General features: G+C 45.9%; 3 pseudogenes, besides 6 other annotated features; 1 reads left to right on the top strand and 2 right to left on the bottom strand.

The window, feature by feature from the left end:
* The window catches only part of SLC9B1P1 (solute carrier family 9 member B1 pseudogene 1), a 45,306-nt pseudogene extending 43,790 nt beyond the window's left edge, over window positions 1-1,516 (top strand).
* On the bottom strand, window positions 4,797-5,503 carry PABPC1P5 (poly(A) binding protein cytoplasmic 1 pseudogene 5; annotated as a pseudogene).
* DUX4L19 (double homeobox 4 like 19 (pseudogene)) lies at window positions 8,053-9,575 on the bottom strand (annotated as a pseudogene).
* Window positions 8,648-9,185: an enhancer, noted in NCBI's record as "H3K27ac-H3K4me1 hESC enhancer chrY:13488397-13488934 (GRCh37/hg19 assembly coordinates)". NCBI's record gives its function as "activates a minimal SCP1, AML or CMV promoter by ChIP-STARR-seq in naive and primed H9 embryonic stem cells {active_cell/tissue: H9 hESC(naive and primed)}" and the evidence as "EXISTENCE:reporter gene assay evidence [ECO:0000049][PMID:30033119]".
* Window positions 11,710-12,244: an enhancer, noted in NCBI's record as "OCT4-NANOG hESC enhancer chrY:13485338-13485872 (GRCh37/hg19 assembly coordinates)". NCBI's record gives its function as "activates a minimal SCP1, AML or CMV promoter by ChIP-STARR-seq in naive and primed H9 embryonic stem cells {active_cell/tissue: H9 hESC(naive and primed)}" and the evidence as "EXISTENCE:reporter gene assay evidence [ECO:0000049][PMID:30033119]".
* Window positions 13,163-13,664: an enhancer, noted in NCBI's record as "NANOG hESC enhancer chrY:13483918-13484419 (GRCh37/hg19 assembly coordinates)". NCBI's record gives its function as "activates a minimal SCP1, AML or CMV promoter by ChIP-STARR-seq in primed H9 embryonic stem cells {active_cell/tissue: H9 hESC(primed)}" and the evidence as "EXISTENCE:reporter gene assay evidence [ECO:0000049][PMID:30033119]".
* Window positions 13,976-14,493: an enhancer, noted in NCBI's record as "OCT4-NANOG hESC enhancer chrY:13483089-13483606 (GRCh37/hg19 assembly coordinates)". NCBI's record gives its function as "activates a minimal SCP1, AML or CMV promoter by ChIP-STARR-seq in primed H9 embryonic stem cells {active_cell/tissue: H9 hESC(primed)}" and the evidence as "EXISTENCE:reporter gene assay evidence [ECO:0000049][PMID:30033119]".
* Window positions 14,878-15,552: an enhancer, noted in NCBI's record as "OCT4-NANOG-H3K27ac hESC enhancer chrY:13482030-13482704 (GRCh37/hg19 assembly coordinates)". NCBI's record gives its function as "activates a minimal SCP1, AML or CMV promoter by ChIP-STARR-seq in naive and primed H9 embryonic stem cells {active_cell/tissue: H9 hESC(naive and primed)}" and the evidence as "EXISTENCE:reporter gene assay evidence [ECO:0000049][PMID:30033119]".
* Window positions 15,553-16,228: an enhancer, noted in NCBI's record as "OCT4-NANOG-H3K27ac hESC enhancer chrY:13481354-13482029 (GRCh37/hg19 assembly coordinates)". NCBI's record gives its function as "activates a minimal SCP1, AML or CMV promoter by ChIP-STARR-seq in primed H9 embryonic stem cells {active_cell/tissue: H9 hESC(primed)}" and the evidence as "EXISTENCE:reporter gene assay evidence [ECO:0000049][PMID:30033119]".

Here is a 16,518-nt window from a genome sequence, read left to right as displayed (position 1 = left end):
CTTTCTCCCTAGCATCCTCCAGCACACTGGATCATGTTCAGTACATTTAAAGTTATGATATAAAAATAATACCATTTTAAATTATTGATTTAGGATATATAAATTGATCTTAAATTGAGGGGTTCTTTTGCCATAATGTTCCATATCAGAGGTAATGTTTCTACCATTATGTTGTTACTTTGCAACTCCATAGAAAATATGTTATATATTGGTATTTAATTCCCCCAAATTTTAAGGCAATTTCATCCCTAGTTATTAAACACAAGGAAAGAGAGTTAGCAAGAAATTTGCTTTATGTTATTAAAAATAATATGGTAGAAGGTAACTAGGGAAAAAAACTTGTGACCCAGTAGAGTCATTCTAAAACAAAAACTTCAAAGGAACTCATTCTCTGACCTGGCAGGGGATGAGGAGTGAAGGAGAAAGAAACTTACTACTATCTGAATACCTACTCTGTGCCAGGTATTCTTCACATTCTCATATTTAATTTTCACAACCGTCCAGTAAGATAAATATTTTGTTCTTCGTTTTACATGTAAGTAAGTACATGTACAAGTAAGAGTGTGAGTCATTTGTACAAGGTCACTAGCCTGGTTGCAGCAAAAATAGAATTCAAACCCAGTTTGCTAGATTCCAAGCCTGCTGTCAGTTCTGCTATAACCCAGTGCCCCCTGAATAAGGAGAACAATGAAAAGAAGGGCAACAAATCCTAGAGAACCATAAGAAAACTTAATATTTTATTTTGTCTTCTTGTAGTCAAAAACCACTGGTACACAATAAAGGCAACTAAGCAAAACCGGCTTCATTAGAACTCCTGGTGTTATGAGGGCAACACTCAAAAGAGATATTTCAATAGAGGAACACTGAGAGGACAAGAGTGCAAAATCAGCCCAAAAATGTTTGCATGCTGATTTGTCACTATTGTACTCTTCCTCCACATATATTTCCTAGGAAGAACATGGAACTGATGAGTAACTTATGAAAATTACTGAGTCCTTTTTTTTCTAATAGTCTAGTACTAGATTTTGTTTATTTTAACAGAGCCATTTACATTATATATTAACTCAGTTTAATATTTTTCTTTATGCCCCATTTTTACCCCTAAATGTAGGCTGTGTTAGGTCCTCTGGCTCTAGAAACAGCAAGAGTCTCCACACCCCACTTGGAAACATATGCGAAGGATGTGATGACAGTAGCATTTTTAGCCATCATGATCACAGCTCCAAATGGAGCTCTACTTATGGGCATTCTGGGGCCTAAAATGCTTACACGCCATTATGATCCAAGCAAAATAAAACTGCAATTGTCAACATTAGAACATCATTAAAAAGTTTACCTGTCATCATCTGCCTGCTTCTTTTAATGAATTATTTCACATGACAGAAGAATTTTAAAGTAGAAGTATGTAGGGACTGTACAGAAAATCCAGGATTTAGTAAACATGTGATTTCTGTACAGGGCTTTTCTTGGACTTTTTACTACAAAGTTAATTTAATAAAAATAATATTAAAAAGAATGCTCTCTTGGAATTTACATAGTGTAAGAACAAATTAAATCTGTAAATACCCTAGGAAAGTTTAAAGTAATCCGTCAGGCTGAATTTGATATCATAATACAAACTGAGCTTACTATAAAATTAAACAAACTTAATGGCAGAAAGAAAAACTTTGAATATTGAACTTGGTAAGATAGCCTAAGTTTCCAAATAGGAGGAGTAGAACTCCCCATGATGTCCAGTAATTCAGTTAGAAAGATCACTACAAAAAGAAAAATAAAAGGAGTAAAACACATCAACTTTAAATGGGTTAACTGAATAGATTTTAAATTCTGGTTTTGGTGACTGCCTGAATAAATAATATGTTAATTAATAGAACCAAGTTAGTCTTTCCTTATTTCTGCCATGCCCTTAAAATGAAAGTCTGATTTAGCAGTTTTTAGATGAAACACTATCTATATTTTTATTTATAGAAATAAAATTAAATCACAAATGGAAGTAAACTATATTTTTTTCAATTAGTATTTTAAAATCTAGGCATAAAAGGCGGCCTCCAAAAATGAAAGATTTGGAGACTACTGTCATGTGGCAGTTTCTTCTCCTTAGTAATGTAGAATTACCTTTTAATTCTGGCTGATTAAATCTGCCATGTTAATGTAGAACCCATCACAAGCAAAGTGAGTTTTAATTTACTTCAAGACTCTTTATTTTAAAGTTATAAGAGTCATATAAACACTTCTAAAATGGTCTTATTGAATGACATTTTAGAAATTGTTTAGACTTCTTTGGCAAAAGCTCAATGCAAGGACTGAATATTACTTTCATTCATCTATTTCCTCTTCTCCACAAGCAAGATATTAAAATACCACAGAATATGAAATTTGCACATAAATTTGCCAAGTGAAGCAATTAAAATTTAAGGCAATCAAAACTATGTGTTATTCCTGTTAAGTCTAAGGGCTTTTACAGAATATATCACCGAAACTGCCAAAAGTTCTAAAACCGTCTGAGAAATAACTTAGAAAATACACTCTGGGAGAATAACTCTGGGAAAAGATAAAATAGCTACTGTTTTAGTGATATTTTCTCTTTATAGTTTTACAGCAAAGTACAGACTCCATTTTCAAATATTGTAATTCTAGTACTCAAATTCTAAAAATTTAAACTGTGCCAGTGTTTTGACTACTATTTAAATAATGAAGACATCTCATTGTCACTTATAAAAAAATAAAAATATAGGCAGGGTGTTGTGGCTCATGTCTGTAATCCCAGCACTTTGGGAGGCCAATGTGTGCAGATCACAAGGTCAGGAGTTCGAGACCAATCTGACCAACATAGTGAAACCCCGTCTCTACTAAAAATTCAAAAATTTGTCAGGTGTGGTGGCACGCACCTCTAATCCCAGCTACTCAGAAGGCTGAGGCAGGAGAATCGCTTGAACCCAGGAGGCAGAGGTTGCATTGAGCTGAGATCGCACCATTGCACTCCAGCCTGGGAGACAGAGCAAGACTCTGTCTCAAAAAAAAAAAAATAAAATATATGTATATATATATATTTACAAGATAGTATTTTACATTCACAAGAGGATTAGATTTCAAAGTAGAAAGTTTATTTTAATAAAAGAGATATAATAAATAATTTTCAAAATGAGGAATTGTGTTTTTGATTAGGAGGAAAATTGTTGTACCTATTCTTTTTATTCTTTATTTATTGAACTTTCTCTAAGTGTCTGTGATATATGTTTATTATACTGAAATAGTCGCCGTTTTAAGGTAGTGTGGCAGATGTTGTTATTTATTTGAAATTTTATGTGTTTTATTTATAAAAGTTTTTATAAAAATTTATTAATATAATTTGAAAATTACAACCAGTTAACCATGTGTATGATATTAGTGTTTATAGTATTTAAATAAATAAGTCTGGGCACAGTGGCTCACACCATCCCAGCACTTGGGGAAGACAAGGCGGGTGGATCAGGAGGTCAGGAGAAGGAGACCATCCTGGCTAACATGGTGAAAACCTGTCTCTACTACAAATACAAAAAACTAGCCAGGCATGATGGAAGGTGCCTCTAGTCCCGTCTACTCAGGAGGCTGAGGCAGGAGAATCACTTGAACCTGGGAGGTAGAGGTTGCAGTGAGCCAAGATCACGCCACTGCACTCCAGCCTGGGTGACAGAGCAAGACTCCATCTCAAAAAAATAAAATAAAATAAAATAAAATAAAATAAAATAACAAATAAATACAAGATTGTTGTTTCTTATAAAGTTTTTTTGTATCTTTTTTTACTGTTTAAGGAATTTTTATTAAAGCAAAATTTTATAATCCAAATTATGTTTCCTTGCTCAGTTATCAATTCTGTTACTTAAAACAGAAGTGACATTCTTAGCTATTCCACACTAATGAATTCCAAAATTAAAGGAATGCTTTAAATTTTTATACTTTGCTGAAAATTATGTATCACAGAGTCTGAAAAGCATTACAGTGTTTTTATATTTTATTATTTTGGGAGGATTTTTTCTTTTCAAATCAATAAGTAATCTAGGACTATCATTGCATTTGTTAGATCTGACATTTGTTTGGTATGTAAAGTTCAAAGTTTCCTTTTTAAATTTATTTTATATTTTACAAATTTTTTCCATAGTATTTAAGGTTTTCGATATGGAGATATTTTTCTTCAGTGATGCTCAAGTTTCTTTCTCTGGTCCCTGATCAGTTTTAAACAATTGGAACAGCAGTGGCACCATTAACTGCTTTCTGGGCAGCCTCTTTAGCTTGGTTGTCTTGTAGTACAACTATACCTTTGTCAACCTTAGTATAGAGAGGCTCTGGAGATTCAAGTATATGAAGGAGTTCTAAATTACCAATCTCCAACAACATGCCAATGATTTTAGCAGCACGACTAGGGCATGGCTTGAGAAGAGGAAACAACCATTCACTCTTTTCCTTTTGCTTTTGAGGAGGAGCAGATGCCATCATGGAAGTCAAAGGTTCTTGACCTTCTACATGAACAGCAGGCTGCTGCATGGTAACCTGGGGCTGTGCATGAAAATGCCATTGAGGATTGTGAGCTTCCATAGCATATTTATACTGTGAAATGGTACAAACAGCAGGAGTATCTGTAGTAGCAGTAGCGGCAACTGCAGGATGTGCTCCTATTGTCTGTGTCGATGTGTTACAACAGCTGTGTTGACATGACTCATGGAAGCTGGGAAGAAGCTGGTCTCTTACTACTAAATGTAGTGAGCTAGGAGTGGCTTCGGCATATTTTTCAATGGATGAGGTCTGGCACCCTGAGCAATTTAGGGAGGATTTGATCTTAGTTGAGCAGTTTGGCTAGGAGAATACTTTGCAGCATGGCTCTCAGTCTGTGGGATAACTGCCATGAAGTCAATTGAAGAAGGTGCTGGCTGATAGGGACTGATTCCCAGGTTGAGCATAGTTTTTACACTTGCCATTCTTTGCACATACTGTACTGGTTAATGAGCTGAGCCTGTTTCTGTTCATTGCTTTTCTTCCCATGGAGTTAACACTATATACAATGGCTCAGTGCCCACAATTCTACCATTCATTTCTGAAAGTGCTTTAGTTTCTTCCTCTGGAGAGGAGAAACATACACAAATCAAACCCTTTGTTGTGAAAACCATCCTTCATAACTTTTGCATTGGTGATTGTACCAAGTGGACAAAGTTTTTCCAGAGACATTCATCAATACCATCAAGATTTTTTGCATAAATGTTAACACTTTGTTATCTGGTGATCCTATATTACTTGATCTTTTCAAATTTGCACACAAGTTCCATGTGCCATTCTACTTCTTTCTGAGCTTGACTAACATCATTTTGTTTTCCATTGAGCTTCTTTCTGTTCATCTCATCTGCGCATCTTTATGCCTTTCAAAGCTGACAAATCCAAAACCTTTGGGTTTTGCACTTTCATTAACCACTACTATCACACTTAAGACACATCCCAACTTGCCAAAGAGATCTTTAAGGCACCTACCATCCATGTCTTCTCCAAAAATCTTCCTGTAAACATTGGTGAGCTTTTTAACTCTGAGTTTTGCTTCTCATTGTTTACAAGACTTAATCCAACAAAGAATTTGCTATCATTTAGAAGCATCCATTTCATTTTTGAATAGATCTTTCAGCTGCTTCTGTGTCTCAAAATGTACAATGCCATCACCCCTGAAACCGTTTTCACCACAAAGCACCTAATGTGAAAGTGATAGAGACAGGATGCAGCCAAGGGTCCCCTGGTAAAACCCCACCTTCAAGACTAAAACAGCCTGAACGTTGATAAACTGGACTGCAGGTCCTGGTTGAAGCCTCCCTTTCCTCACTGATTCTGAATAATGCCCACCTGTGCACTGGGATTACAGGGTGGAGCCTCGGGAAGTTTGTGCAGTGTGCAGTGGAGAGGAGTCTGGCGTGTTCCCATGTAGTGACCTAGGATTTAATCTATGAGGCGGGAAACCCGCTAGCAGGACTCTTTCTCTCTTTGCAGAGAGTTATTTTTCTTTTTTCCTTTCCACCCAATAAACTCCATTCCCCCTCACCCTTCAAGTGTTTGCATGCCTTTTCATGGTGGTATGACAAGAACCTGGTTTTTTCTACAACAAAAAGATATTACCAAAAGCAGATGTATCATGCAATGCTTTATAAACAATAGATTTGTCCAATTTTTTTTATGAACATGTTGCCCACTCCAATTTTGCGGAGTGATGGATCACACCGAGACCACTTAGTGTGTATTGGCTAGTCTTTTACAACATCAAAATTCATGGGGTCTTAAGCACATTCCACATCCTGCGTTTCCCAAGGAGCGCCGGTGATCTGGTTCCTGTAGCCCGGGATAGAAAGGACCGGCCAGCAGGCCTGGTCACGTGCGGTGCGAGGACAGGGGATGGCTGGGAAGCTGGGCTCACCTCTGCACCTGTCTGTCGGTAGGGCCACAGGCTGCGACATTTCAATGAAAGGAGAGTAAGGGCTGAGGCAGAAGCCTGGGCCAGCGCAGAGAGACAAAATCACCTGGGATCCAAAACTACTCCACGTCGGAGGAACTGAGGCCCGCAGCGGGCTGGGACGAGGGTGGCGTTGTAAGGTCCAGCGTCCAGGCCTCGGGATCCTGTTCCTTCTTGAAGCTGCTTCGGAGCAGCGAGGTGGTGGGTGGGTCACTCTTGGCTGCCTCACCGGGTAATCTTATACAAGAAGAAAAGGAAAATGTCTCTGGCAGTGAAGACAAGGATTTTTTGGTAAAGTGTTTTGCAGGGGTGACGGTTGTTAAAACAGAAACCTTTTTTTTTCTTTTAAGTTTTTTTCATGGGATTTTTTTCGGGGGAATGGATTTTTCAAGATAATAACGATGTGCTGATCCTGGAGAACACACTCCACACTCTCAGCACTAACCGCTTGGGAGAAGGGACCCATTAATGTTTAATTGTACCTTCTCTTGTGGCCCCGTTTTTTCCCTTTTAATTATGAAACATTGGAGCCTACAGAAAGGTAGAAAAAATGGACACCCACATAACCACCACCTAAATCCAATTAATTGTTAATATTTTGTCAAGTTTTCTTTATGTAATATTTCAATTTGAAATAAAAGTAAATTATAGGCATCATGCTAATTTGCCTGTGTATACTTAAGCCTGCATATTCAAAAACTAAGGCCATTTTCTTTCATGACCAAAATTCCCTTATCCTTTCACACCAAGTTATCAGTAATTCCTTAAAATTATTCAACTCCCAAATATTTTCAAATATAAACAGTCAAGCCCAATGTAACACATTTCAGTCAACTAGTCCACCATCTACACTGCGGTGGTCTCATAAGATTAAACTGGAACATAAATAGAAACTTGATAAACAGTATATGGCCCTTGATATTGGCATTGCAGCTCAACTAGAGGAAATGACTGATGCTCATTAGTGGTTCTGGAACATTTGATTTACCTTATAAAAAATAAATAAGTGAAAATATTGTGATATATCACTGCACTGATCACCCAAATGATGCAAATCTTCTCTAGGCTCCGCAGGGAGGGGGCATTGTGACATATTTCTGAACCGATCATCCAGGAGATATAAGTATTCTCCAGGATTTGACAAAAGAGCTTCGGAAGGTGTTGGGAGAGACTCAGCCGGAATTTCACGGACGGACAAGGGCACAGAGAGGACAGCGGTCTCCGTTGCACGTCAGCCTGGGTGCGCAATGAGCGCAGGTCTAGCCAGGAGGCCGGCAAAGAGAGCTAGAGGTGTGCGTTCCACCACCAGGCACTCCATGGGGGCAGCTGGGAGGCTGCAGGGGCACAGGCGGGCCGGGTACGGTGGCGCGGAGGCGCAGAGGAGGCGAGCGGCCAGAGGGGTGTCAGGCCTGGACGCTGTGCGGGCACGGTGTTTCATGGGACGGGGGTCTCCACCCAGCCCAGGGGAGGACGCATTTTCCGGGGGTGGTGGGTGGTGGTGGGGGTGGGTGGTCAGGCGGGGGTGGGGTGGTGGAAAGGCATGAGAGCTCTGCCCCGGCTGCTCCCAAAGCCCAGGCGGCTGCCCGCAAACCCGCGGGTGCGCAGTAGGCGGCCCACCTGCTGGTACCTGGGCCGGCTCTGGGATCCCCAGGATGCCCAGGAAAGAATGGCAGTTCTCCGCTGTGTGGAGCCTCTCACCAGGCCTAGACCTAGAAGGCAGGAATCCCAGGCAGGTCAGCCCGGTGGAGGGGGCGGGGAGAAGACACGCACCTCCATAGCCAGCCAGGTGTTCCCTGCGAAAGAGAGGCCACCGCCCTGCCCCGATCCGACCCTGTCCCAACCCCGCATCCTAAAGCTCCTCCAGCAGAGTCCGGTATTCTTCCTCGCTGAAGGGTGCTTCCAGCAAGGCGGCCTCTTCGAAGGCCTCCAGCTCCCCCGGGGCCTCCGTTTCTAGGAAAGGTTGCGCCTGCTGCAGAAACTCCGGGCTCGCCAGGAGCTCATCCAGCAGCAGGCCGGAGGGGAGTGCAGACGAGCGCCCCGGCTCCTGAAGCGCCTTGGAGGGCGCCGGGATGCCTTGCATCCGCCCCTGCCGCGCAGAGGCCTCCAGGGGCATGGGCTGGCGAGGTGGAGCTACCCTGGCTTGGGGTTCCCAGGCCGCCCCTGGGCCCTGGGAACCCCTGCCCCAGCCCCAACACGGACTCCCCTGGGACGCGGGTGGCGCAAGCACACCTTGGCCCTGTGGCCCCGCTTGAGCGGGCCCAGGCTGTCCCACCGCGCAAGCAACCGGCAGGCTGTCACGCTGCGGGTCCGGGTCCTCCCGGCTTTTGCCCGGGTGCGGAGGCCACGGAGGAGCCTGAGGGTGGGAGAGCGCCCCTTCTGGAGGAGCCGGGGCGGTGTAGGCAAAATCCTGGCGTGACGGGACAGGTTGGGAGATCCCCTCTCCTGGCGCGGCCTGGCTGGGCTGGAGCACGGGGACGGCCCTCGCTCCCTGGCTCACAAAAGCTCCCTGTGGGAGAGCCCCAGTCGTGCAGGGCACGTGGGGTGTGGGAAGCCCCGTTCCCAACGCGCCGGTGTGGGCGAAGGCGACCCACGAGGGAGCAGGGTGACACCCGCCTGGGGCCGCTTTGCACAGGCCGCCTGACTGCGCGGGCGCCCTGTCAGCCTGTCCCGGCTGCCTGGCCCTTCAATTCTGAAATCAGATCTGAATCCTGGACTCTGGGAGGCCCGTCTCTCTGGCCACCTCTTCCCTGGCGGCGATGCCTGGAAAGCGATCCTTCTCAAAGGCTCGGAGGAGTAGGGCGGTCTGGGATCCGGTGACCGCGGTCCGCTTTCGCCTGCCTTCTTGCGGGCCGCGTCTTCCGGGCCAGGGCCGAGATTCCCGCCGGTGCTGCCTCAGCTGGCGTGACCTCGCATTCTGAAACCAAATCTGGACTCTGGGCTCCGGAATGTCGATGGCCTGGGCCAGCCGTTCTCTGGTGGCGATGCCCGGGTACGGGTTCCGCTCAAAGCAGGCTCGCAGGGCCTGGCTTTGGCTCGGGGTCCAAACGAGTGTCCTCCACCGTCCCCGTCCCCAGGCTTCCGTGGGGAGGGTGCTGTCCGAAGTTGTCGGGAAGGCCATCGCGGGGAGCCCCAGCCGGAATTTCATGGACGGACGCGTGCAGAGAGGGGCCGGCGGGCTCCCGTGCACCTCAGCCGGCCTGTGCACTGCGGCAGGTGCACCCAGGAGGCCTGCCCAGACAGCCAGCCAGCAGCTCCTATAAAGGCCCACAGGCAGACAGGCTCCACCCCTTCATGAATGGCGGTGAGCCCTGGGACAGCCAGCCCCACCCCGGAAGGGTCCCAGGGCGTCGAGGCCTGTGGCCGGGGGGTTGTGGGGTGGGGAGGGAGGGCGTGGTGATGCTGGTGGTGGGGCCGGAGAGACGAAGAGGAAGGGGGCGAGGGGGAAGGGGTGATGGGGGCTGGCTCTCCGGACATCTCCAGGAATCCAGCAGGAACTGGAAGCCGCTCTCTGATCTCCCAGGCGTCTTCAGCAGGGCGAAACTGGCCTGGGTGGGTGGAGGGGAGTGTGGAACTGAACCTCCATGGGATTCTTGAGTGTTCCCGGCCCTCTCTCCATGAAGAAGGCAGTGCCTGTGGGTGTCGCCGTTGCCGGGACTGTCTGAAACACGCAGGCGTGTGGCTCTCGTTCATTTCTAAGTAGGAGACCAGACCGAGACCCCAGAGAGAAGATGCCTCTCCGGCGTGATGGCCTGACGATGGATTCCCTTATGCGGCAACTTGGGGAGTCTGCAGTGTGGCCGGTTTGGAAACTGGCAAGGAGAGCGAAGGCACCATGCCAGTGTTCCACCCTTAGCTGCATGTTTCCGAGTGCCCGCAGAGCTGCCGGAGCAAACAGTCAGCATGACACATCTCTGAACTGATCAACAAAGTGATAGCCGGGCGCGGTGGCTCACGCCTGTAATCCCAGCACTTTGGGAGGCCGAGGCGGGCGGATCACGAGGTCAGGAGATCGAGACCATCCCGGCTACAATGGTGAAACCCCGTCTCTACTAAAAAAAATACAAAAAAATTAGCCGGGCGTAGTGGCGGGCACCTGTAGTCCCAGCTACTTGGGAGGCTGAGGCAGGAGAATGGCGTGAACCCGGGAGGCGGAGCTTGCAGTGAGCCGAGATTGCGCCACTGCACTCCCACCTGGGCCACTGAGCGAGACTCCGTCTCAAAAAAAAAAAAAAAAAAAAAAAAAAGTGATGTAACTCTTGTCTAGGCTCTGCCTACAGGGGCTTTGTGACATATCTCTGCACTGATCACCCAGGTGATGGGACTTTGTCTAGGCTCTGCCTATGGGGACATTGTGACATATCTCTACACTGATCACCCAGGTAATGTAACTCTTGTGTTGGATCTGCCTATGGGGGCATTGTGACATATCTCTACACTGATCACCCAGGTAATGTAACTCTTGTGTTGGATCTGCCTATGGGGGCATTGTGACATATTTCTGCACTGATCACCTAGGTGATGGGACACTTGTCTAGGCTCTGTGTATGGGGGCTTTGTGACATATCTCCGCACTGATCACACAGGTGATGTAACGCTTGACTAGGCTCTGTCTACGGGGCATAATGACATATCACTGCATTGATCACCGAGGTGATGTAACTCTTGTCCAGGATCTGCCTATAGGGGGCCTTGTGACATATCTCTGCACTAATCAACTAGGTGATGTAAATCTTGCTTATGCTCTGCCTGCAGGGGCATTGTGAAATATCTCTGCACCGATCACCCACGTGATGGGACTCTTCTCTAGGCTCTGCCTACTGGAGGCATTGTCACATATTTCTGCACTGATCACCCAGGTGATGCAACTGTTCTCTATGCTCTACCTACAGGGGCATTGTGACATATCTCTGCACTGATCACCCAGGTGATGTAACTATTTTCTACTCTGTGGCTACAGAGGGCGTTGTGATATCACTCTGCACGGATCACCCCAGTCATATAACTCTTCTCTAGGCTCTGCCAATGGGGGCAGTGTGACTTATCTCTGCACTGATCACCCAGGAGATGTGACTCTTGGCTAAGCTCTGCCTAGAGGGACATTGGGATATATCTCTGCACTTTTCGCTGAGGTGATGTAAAACTTGTCTAGGCTTTGCCTACAGTGGGATTTATGACATATCTCTGCACTGATCACCCAGGTGATGTAACTCTTGTCTAGGCTCTGCTTACAGTGGGTATTGTGAGATATCTCTGCACTGATCACCCAGGCGGTGTAACTCTGATCTAAGCTCTGCCTAAAGGGGCATTTTGACAGTTCTCCGCACTGATCACTCAGGTGATGTAACAATTGTCTAGGTTCTGCTTAAAGGGGCCTTGTCACATATCTCTGCACTGATCACCCAGGTGATGTAACTCTTGTCTAGGCTCTGCTTACAGGGGGTATTGTGACATATATCTGCACTGATCACCTAAGTGATGTAACACTTGTGTAGGCTCTGCCTACAGGGGCATTTTGACATATCTCTGCACTGTTAAACGAGGTGATGTAACTCTTGTCTAGGCTGTGCCCACAGGGGGATTGAGACATATCTCTGCACTGATCCCGAGATGATCCAACTCTTACCTGGTCTCTGCCTACTGGGGACTTTGTGACATATCTCTGCACTTATCTCCCAGGTGCTGTAACTTTAGTCTAGGCTCTGGCTATACGGCATTGTGACATATCACTGCACTGATCACCCAGGTGTTATAACTCTTGTCTAGGCTCTGCCTACAGGGGCTTGTGACATAACTCTGCACTGACCACCCAGGTGATATAACTCTTCTCTAGGATCTCCCTATAGGGTGCTTTGTGACATATCAATGCAATGGTCACCCAGGTGATATACCACTTGTCAAGGCTCTGCCTACAGGGGCATTGCGATGTATCTCTGCACTGATCACCTAGGTCATGTAACTCTTGTCTAGGCTCAGCCTACAGGGGCATTGTGGCATAACTCTGCACTGATCAACCAGGTGATGTAACTCTTGTCTAGTATCTGCCTAAGGGGACTTTGTGATATAAATCTGCACTGATCATCCAGCTGATGGGGCTGTTGTATAGGCTCTGCCTAAGGGGGCATTGTGACATATTTCTGCACTGATCACCCAGGTGACAGACTCTTGTCTTCGATCTGCCTATGGGGGCATTGTGACATATCTCTGCACTGATCGCCCAGGTGATGTAACTGTTGTATAAGCTCTGCCTACAGGGGAATTGTGAGAGGTCTCGCCACTGATCACCAAAGTGATGTAACTATTGTCTAGGCTTTGCCTACAGGGGGCTTTGTAACATTCCTTTGCACTTGTCACCCAGGTGATGTAACTCATCTAAGTTCTGCCTACAGGAGCTTTTTGATATATCTCTGCACTGATCACTTAGGTGATGTAACAGTTTTCTAAGCACTGCCGACAGGGAACTTTGACAAATCTCTGCACTGATCACATAGGTGATGTAAGTCTTTTCTACCCTCTGCCCAAAGGGGGCATTGTGAAATATCTCTGCACTGATCACTCAGGTGATTCAACTCTTGTCTTGGATCTGCCTACAGGGGTATTGGGAAATATCTCTGCACTGATCACCCAGGTGATGAAACTCTTCTCTATGCTCTGCCTACAGGGGGCATTATGACATATCTCTGCTCTGATCACCCAGGTGATGTAACTCTTTTCTAGGCTCTGCCTACAGAGGGCATTGTGACATTACTCTGCACGGATCACCCGGGTTATGTAACTCTTGTCTAGGCTCTGCCTATGCGGGCATTGTGACTTATCACTGCACTGATAACCCAGGAGATGTGACTATTGTATAAGCTCTGCCTAGAGGAACATTGGGACATATCTTTGCACTGACCGCTGATGTGATGTAAAACTTGTCTAGGCTTTGCCTACAGTGGGATTTATGACATATCTCTGCACTGATCACCCAGGTGATGTAACTCTTGTCTAGGCTCTGCTTACAGGGGGTATTGTGAAATATGTCTGCACTGATCACCCAGGTAATGTAACTCTTGTCTAGGCTCTGCCTACAGGGGCATTTTCACATATCACTGCACTGATCACCGAGATAATGTAACTCGTGTTTAGGCTTCGCTGACAGGGGGCATTGAGACATATCTCTGCACTGATCACCAAGGTGATGCAACTCTTGTCTGGGATCTGCTTTCACGGGGCATTGTGACATATCTCTGCCCTGATCACCCAGGTAATGTAACTCTTGTCTAGGTTCTGCCTACTGGAGACATTGTGACATATCTCCGCACTGATCACCCAGGTGATGTCACTTTTGTCAGGAATATGGCTACAACAGGGACATTGTGACAAGTCACTGCACTGATCACACAGCTGATGTAACTCTTGTCTAGGCTCTGGCTACATGGGGCTTGTGACAGATCTCTGCACTGATCACCCAGGTGATGTAACCCTTGTCTAGGCTCTGCCAAAAGGGGGCATTTTGACATAACTCTGCACTGAACACCCAGGTGATGTAACTCTTGTCTAGTATCTGCCTAAGGGGAATTTGTGATATAAATCTGCACTGATCATCCAGCTGATGGTGATGTTGTATAGGCTCTGCCTAAGGGGGCATTGCCGCATATTTCTGCACTGATCACTCAGGAGATGGACACTTGTCTTGGATCTGCCTATGGCGGCATAGTGACATATCTCTGCACTGATCACTCATGTGATGTAACGCTTGTCTAAGCTGCGCCTAAAGGGGAATTGTGACAGATATCTCCACTGATCACCCAGGTGATGTAACAATTTTCTGGGATTTGTCTACAGGGGGCTTTGTGACATATCTTTGCACTGATCACCCAGGAGATGTAACTCTTGTGTAGGCTCCAACTACAGGGGGTATTGTGAAGTATCTCCGCACTGATCACCCAGGTGATATAACTCTTGTCTAGTCTCCACCTACAGGGTGTATTGTGACGTATCTCTGCTCTGATCAGCCAGGTGATGTAACATTTATCTAGGCCCTGCCTACAGGGGCGTTTTAACTTAGCTCTGCACAGATCACCTAAGTTATGTAACTCTTGTCCACTCTCTGCCTACAGGGGGCATTGTGAAATATCTCTGCACTGATCACCCAGGTGATAGGACTCTTCTCTATACTCTGCCTAGAGGGGGATTTGTGACATATATCTGCACTGATTGCCCAGGTGATGGAATTCTTGTCTAGGCTCTGTCTATGGGGGCAGTGTGTCAAATATCTGCACTGATCACCCAGGTGATGTAACTCTTTTCTAGGCTCTGTCCACAGGTATTTTTGTGACTTATCACTGCACTGATCACCTAGGTGATGTAAGCCTTGTATGGGCTTTACCTACAGAAGGCTTTGTGACATACCTATGCACTGTTCTCTGAGGTGATGCAACTCTTGTCTAGGCACTGCCTACAGGGGCATTGGTACATATCTCTGCACTGAACACCCAGGTGATGGACTCTTGTCTTAGATCTGCCTACATGGACATTGTCACACATCTCTGAACTGATCAACCAAGTGATGAAACTCTTGTCTAGGCTCTGCCTACGGGGCTTTGTGACACATCTCTGCACTGTTCACCCTGGTGAGGGAACTCTTGTCTACGCTCTGCCTACAGGAGGCTTTATGACTTATACCTGCACTGATAACCTATGTTATGTTACACTTCTCTAGGCTCTGTCTACACGGGAATTCTCACATATCTCTGCACTGATCACCCAGGTTACGGACTCTTGTCTTGGATTTGCCTATGTGGGCATTGTGACATATCTCTGCACTGATCACCCAGGTGATGTAACTGTTGTATAAGCTCTGCCTACAGGGGAATTGTGAGAGATCTCGGCACTGATCACCCAAGTGATGTAACTATACTCTAGGCTTTGCCTTCAGGGGACTTTTTGACATACATTTGCACTGATCACCCAGGTGATGTAGCTCATCTAAGTTCTGCCTACAGGAGCTTTGTGACATATCTCTGCACTGATCACTTAGGTGATGTAACACTTTTATAAGCACTGCCTACAGGGAATTTTGACAAATCTCTGCACTGATCACCTAGGTGATGTAACTCTTGTTACCCTCTGCCATAACTGGGCATTGTGAAATATCTCTGCACTGATCACCTAGGTGATTCAAATCTTGTCTAGGATCTGCCTACAGGGGCGTTTTCACATATCCCTGAACTGATGAAAAAGGTCATGTAACTCTTGCCTAGGCTTTGCCTACAGGGGACATTGAGACCTATCTCTGCACTGATCACCCAGGTGATGCAACTCTTCTCTATGTTCTGCCTACAGGGGACATTGTGACATATCTCTGCAAGGATCACCCAGGTGATGCAGGTCTTCTCTATGTTCTGCCTACACGGGGCATTTTGACATATTTCTGCACTGATCACCCAGGTGATGTAACTCTTTTCTAGTCTCTGCCTACAGAGGGCGTTGTGAAATCACTCCGCAGGGATCACCCAGATTATGTAACTCTGGTCTATGCTCTGCCTATAGGGGCATTGTGACTTATCTCTACACTGATCACCCAGGAGATGTGACTCTTGTCTAAGCTCTGCCTAGAGGGACATTGGGAGCTATCACTGCACTGATCGCTGAGGTGATGTAAAACTTGTCTAGGCTTTGCTTACAGTGGGGTTTATGACATATCTCTGCACTGATCACCCAGGTGATGTAACTCTTTTCTAGGCTCTGCTTACAGGGTGTATTGTGAGATATCTCTGCACGGATCACCCAGGTGATGTAACACTTGTCTAGGCTCTGCCTACAGGGGCAATTTAACAAATCACTGCACTGATCACCGAGATGATGTAACTCTCTTATAGGCTTCACCAAGAGGGGGCATTGAGACATATCTCTGCATTGATCACCGAGGTGATGCAACTCTTGTCTGGGATCTGCTTACCGGGGGCATTGTGACATATCCCTGCCCTCATCACCCAGGTGATGTAACTTTTGTCTAGGCTCTGCCTACTGGAGACATTGTGACATATCTCCACAATGATCAACCTGGTGAAGTCACTTTT

This window comes from Homo sapiens, chromosome Y (genome assembly GCF_000001405.40).
Source record: "Homo sapiens chromosome Y, GRCh38.p14 Primary Assembly".
Classification (NCBI taxonomy): domain Eukaryota; kingdom Metazoa; phylum Chordata; class Mammalia; order Primates; family Hominidae; genus Homo; species Homo sapiens.
This window is presented reverse-complemented; position numbering and strand designations above follow the sequence as displayed.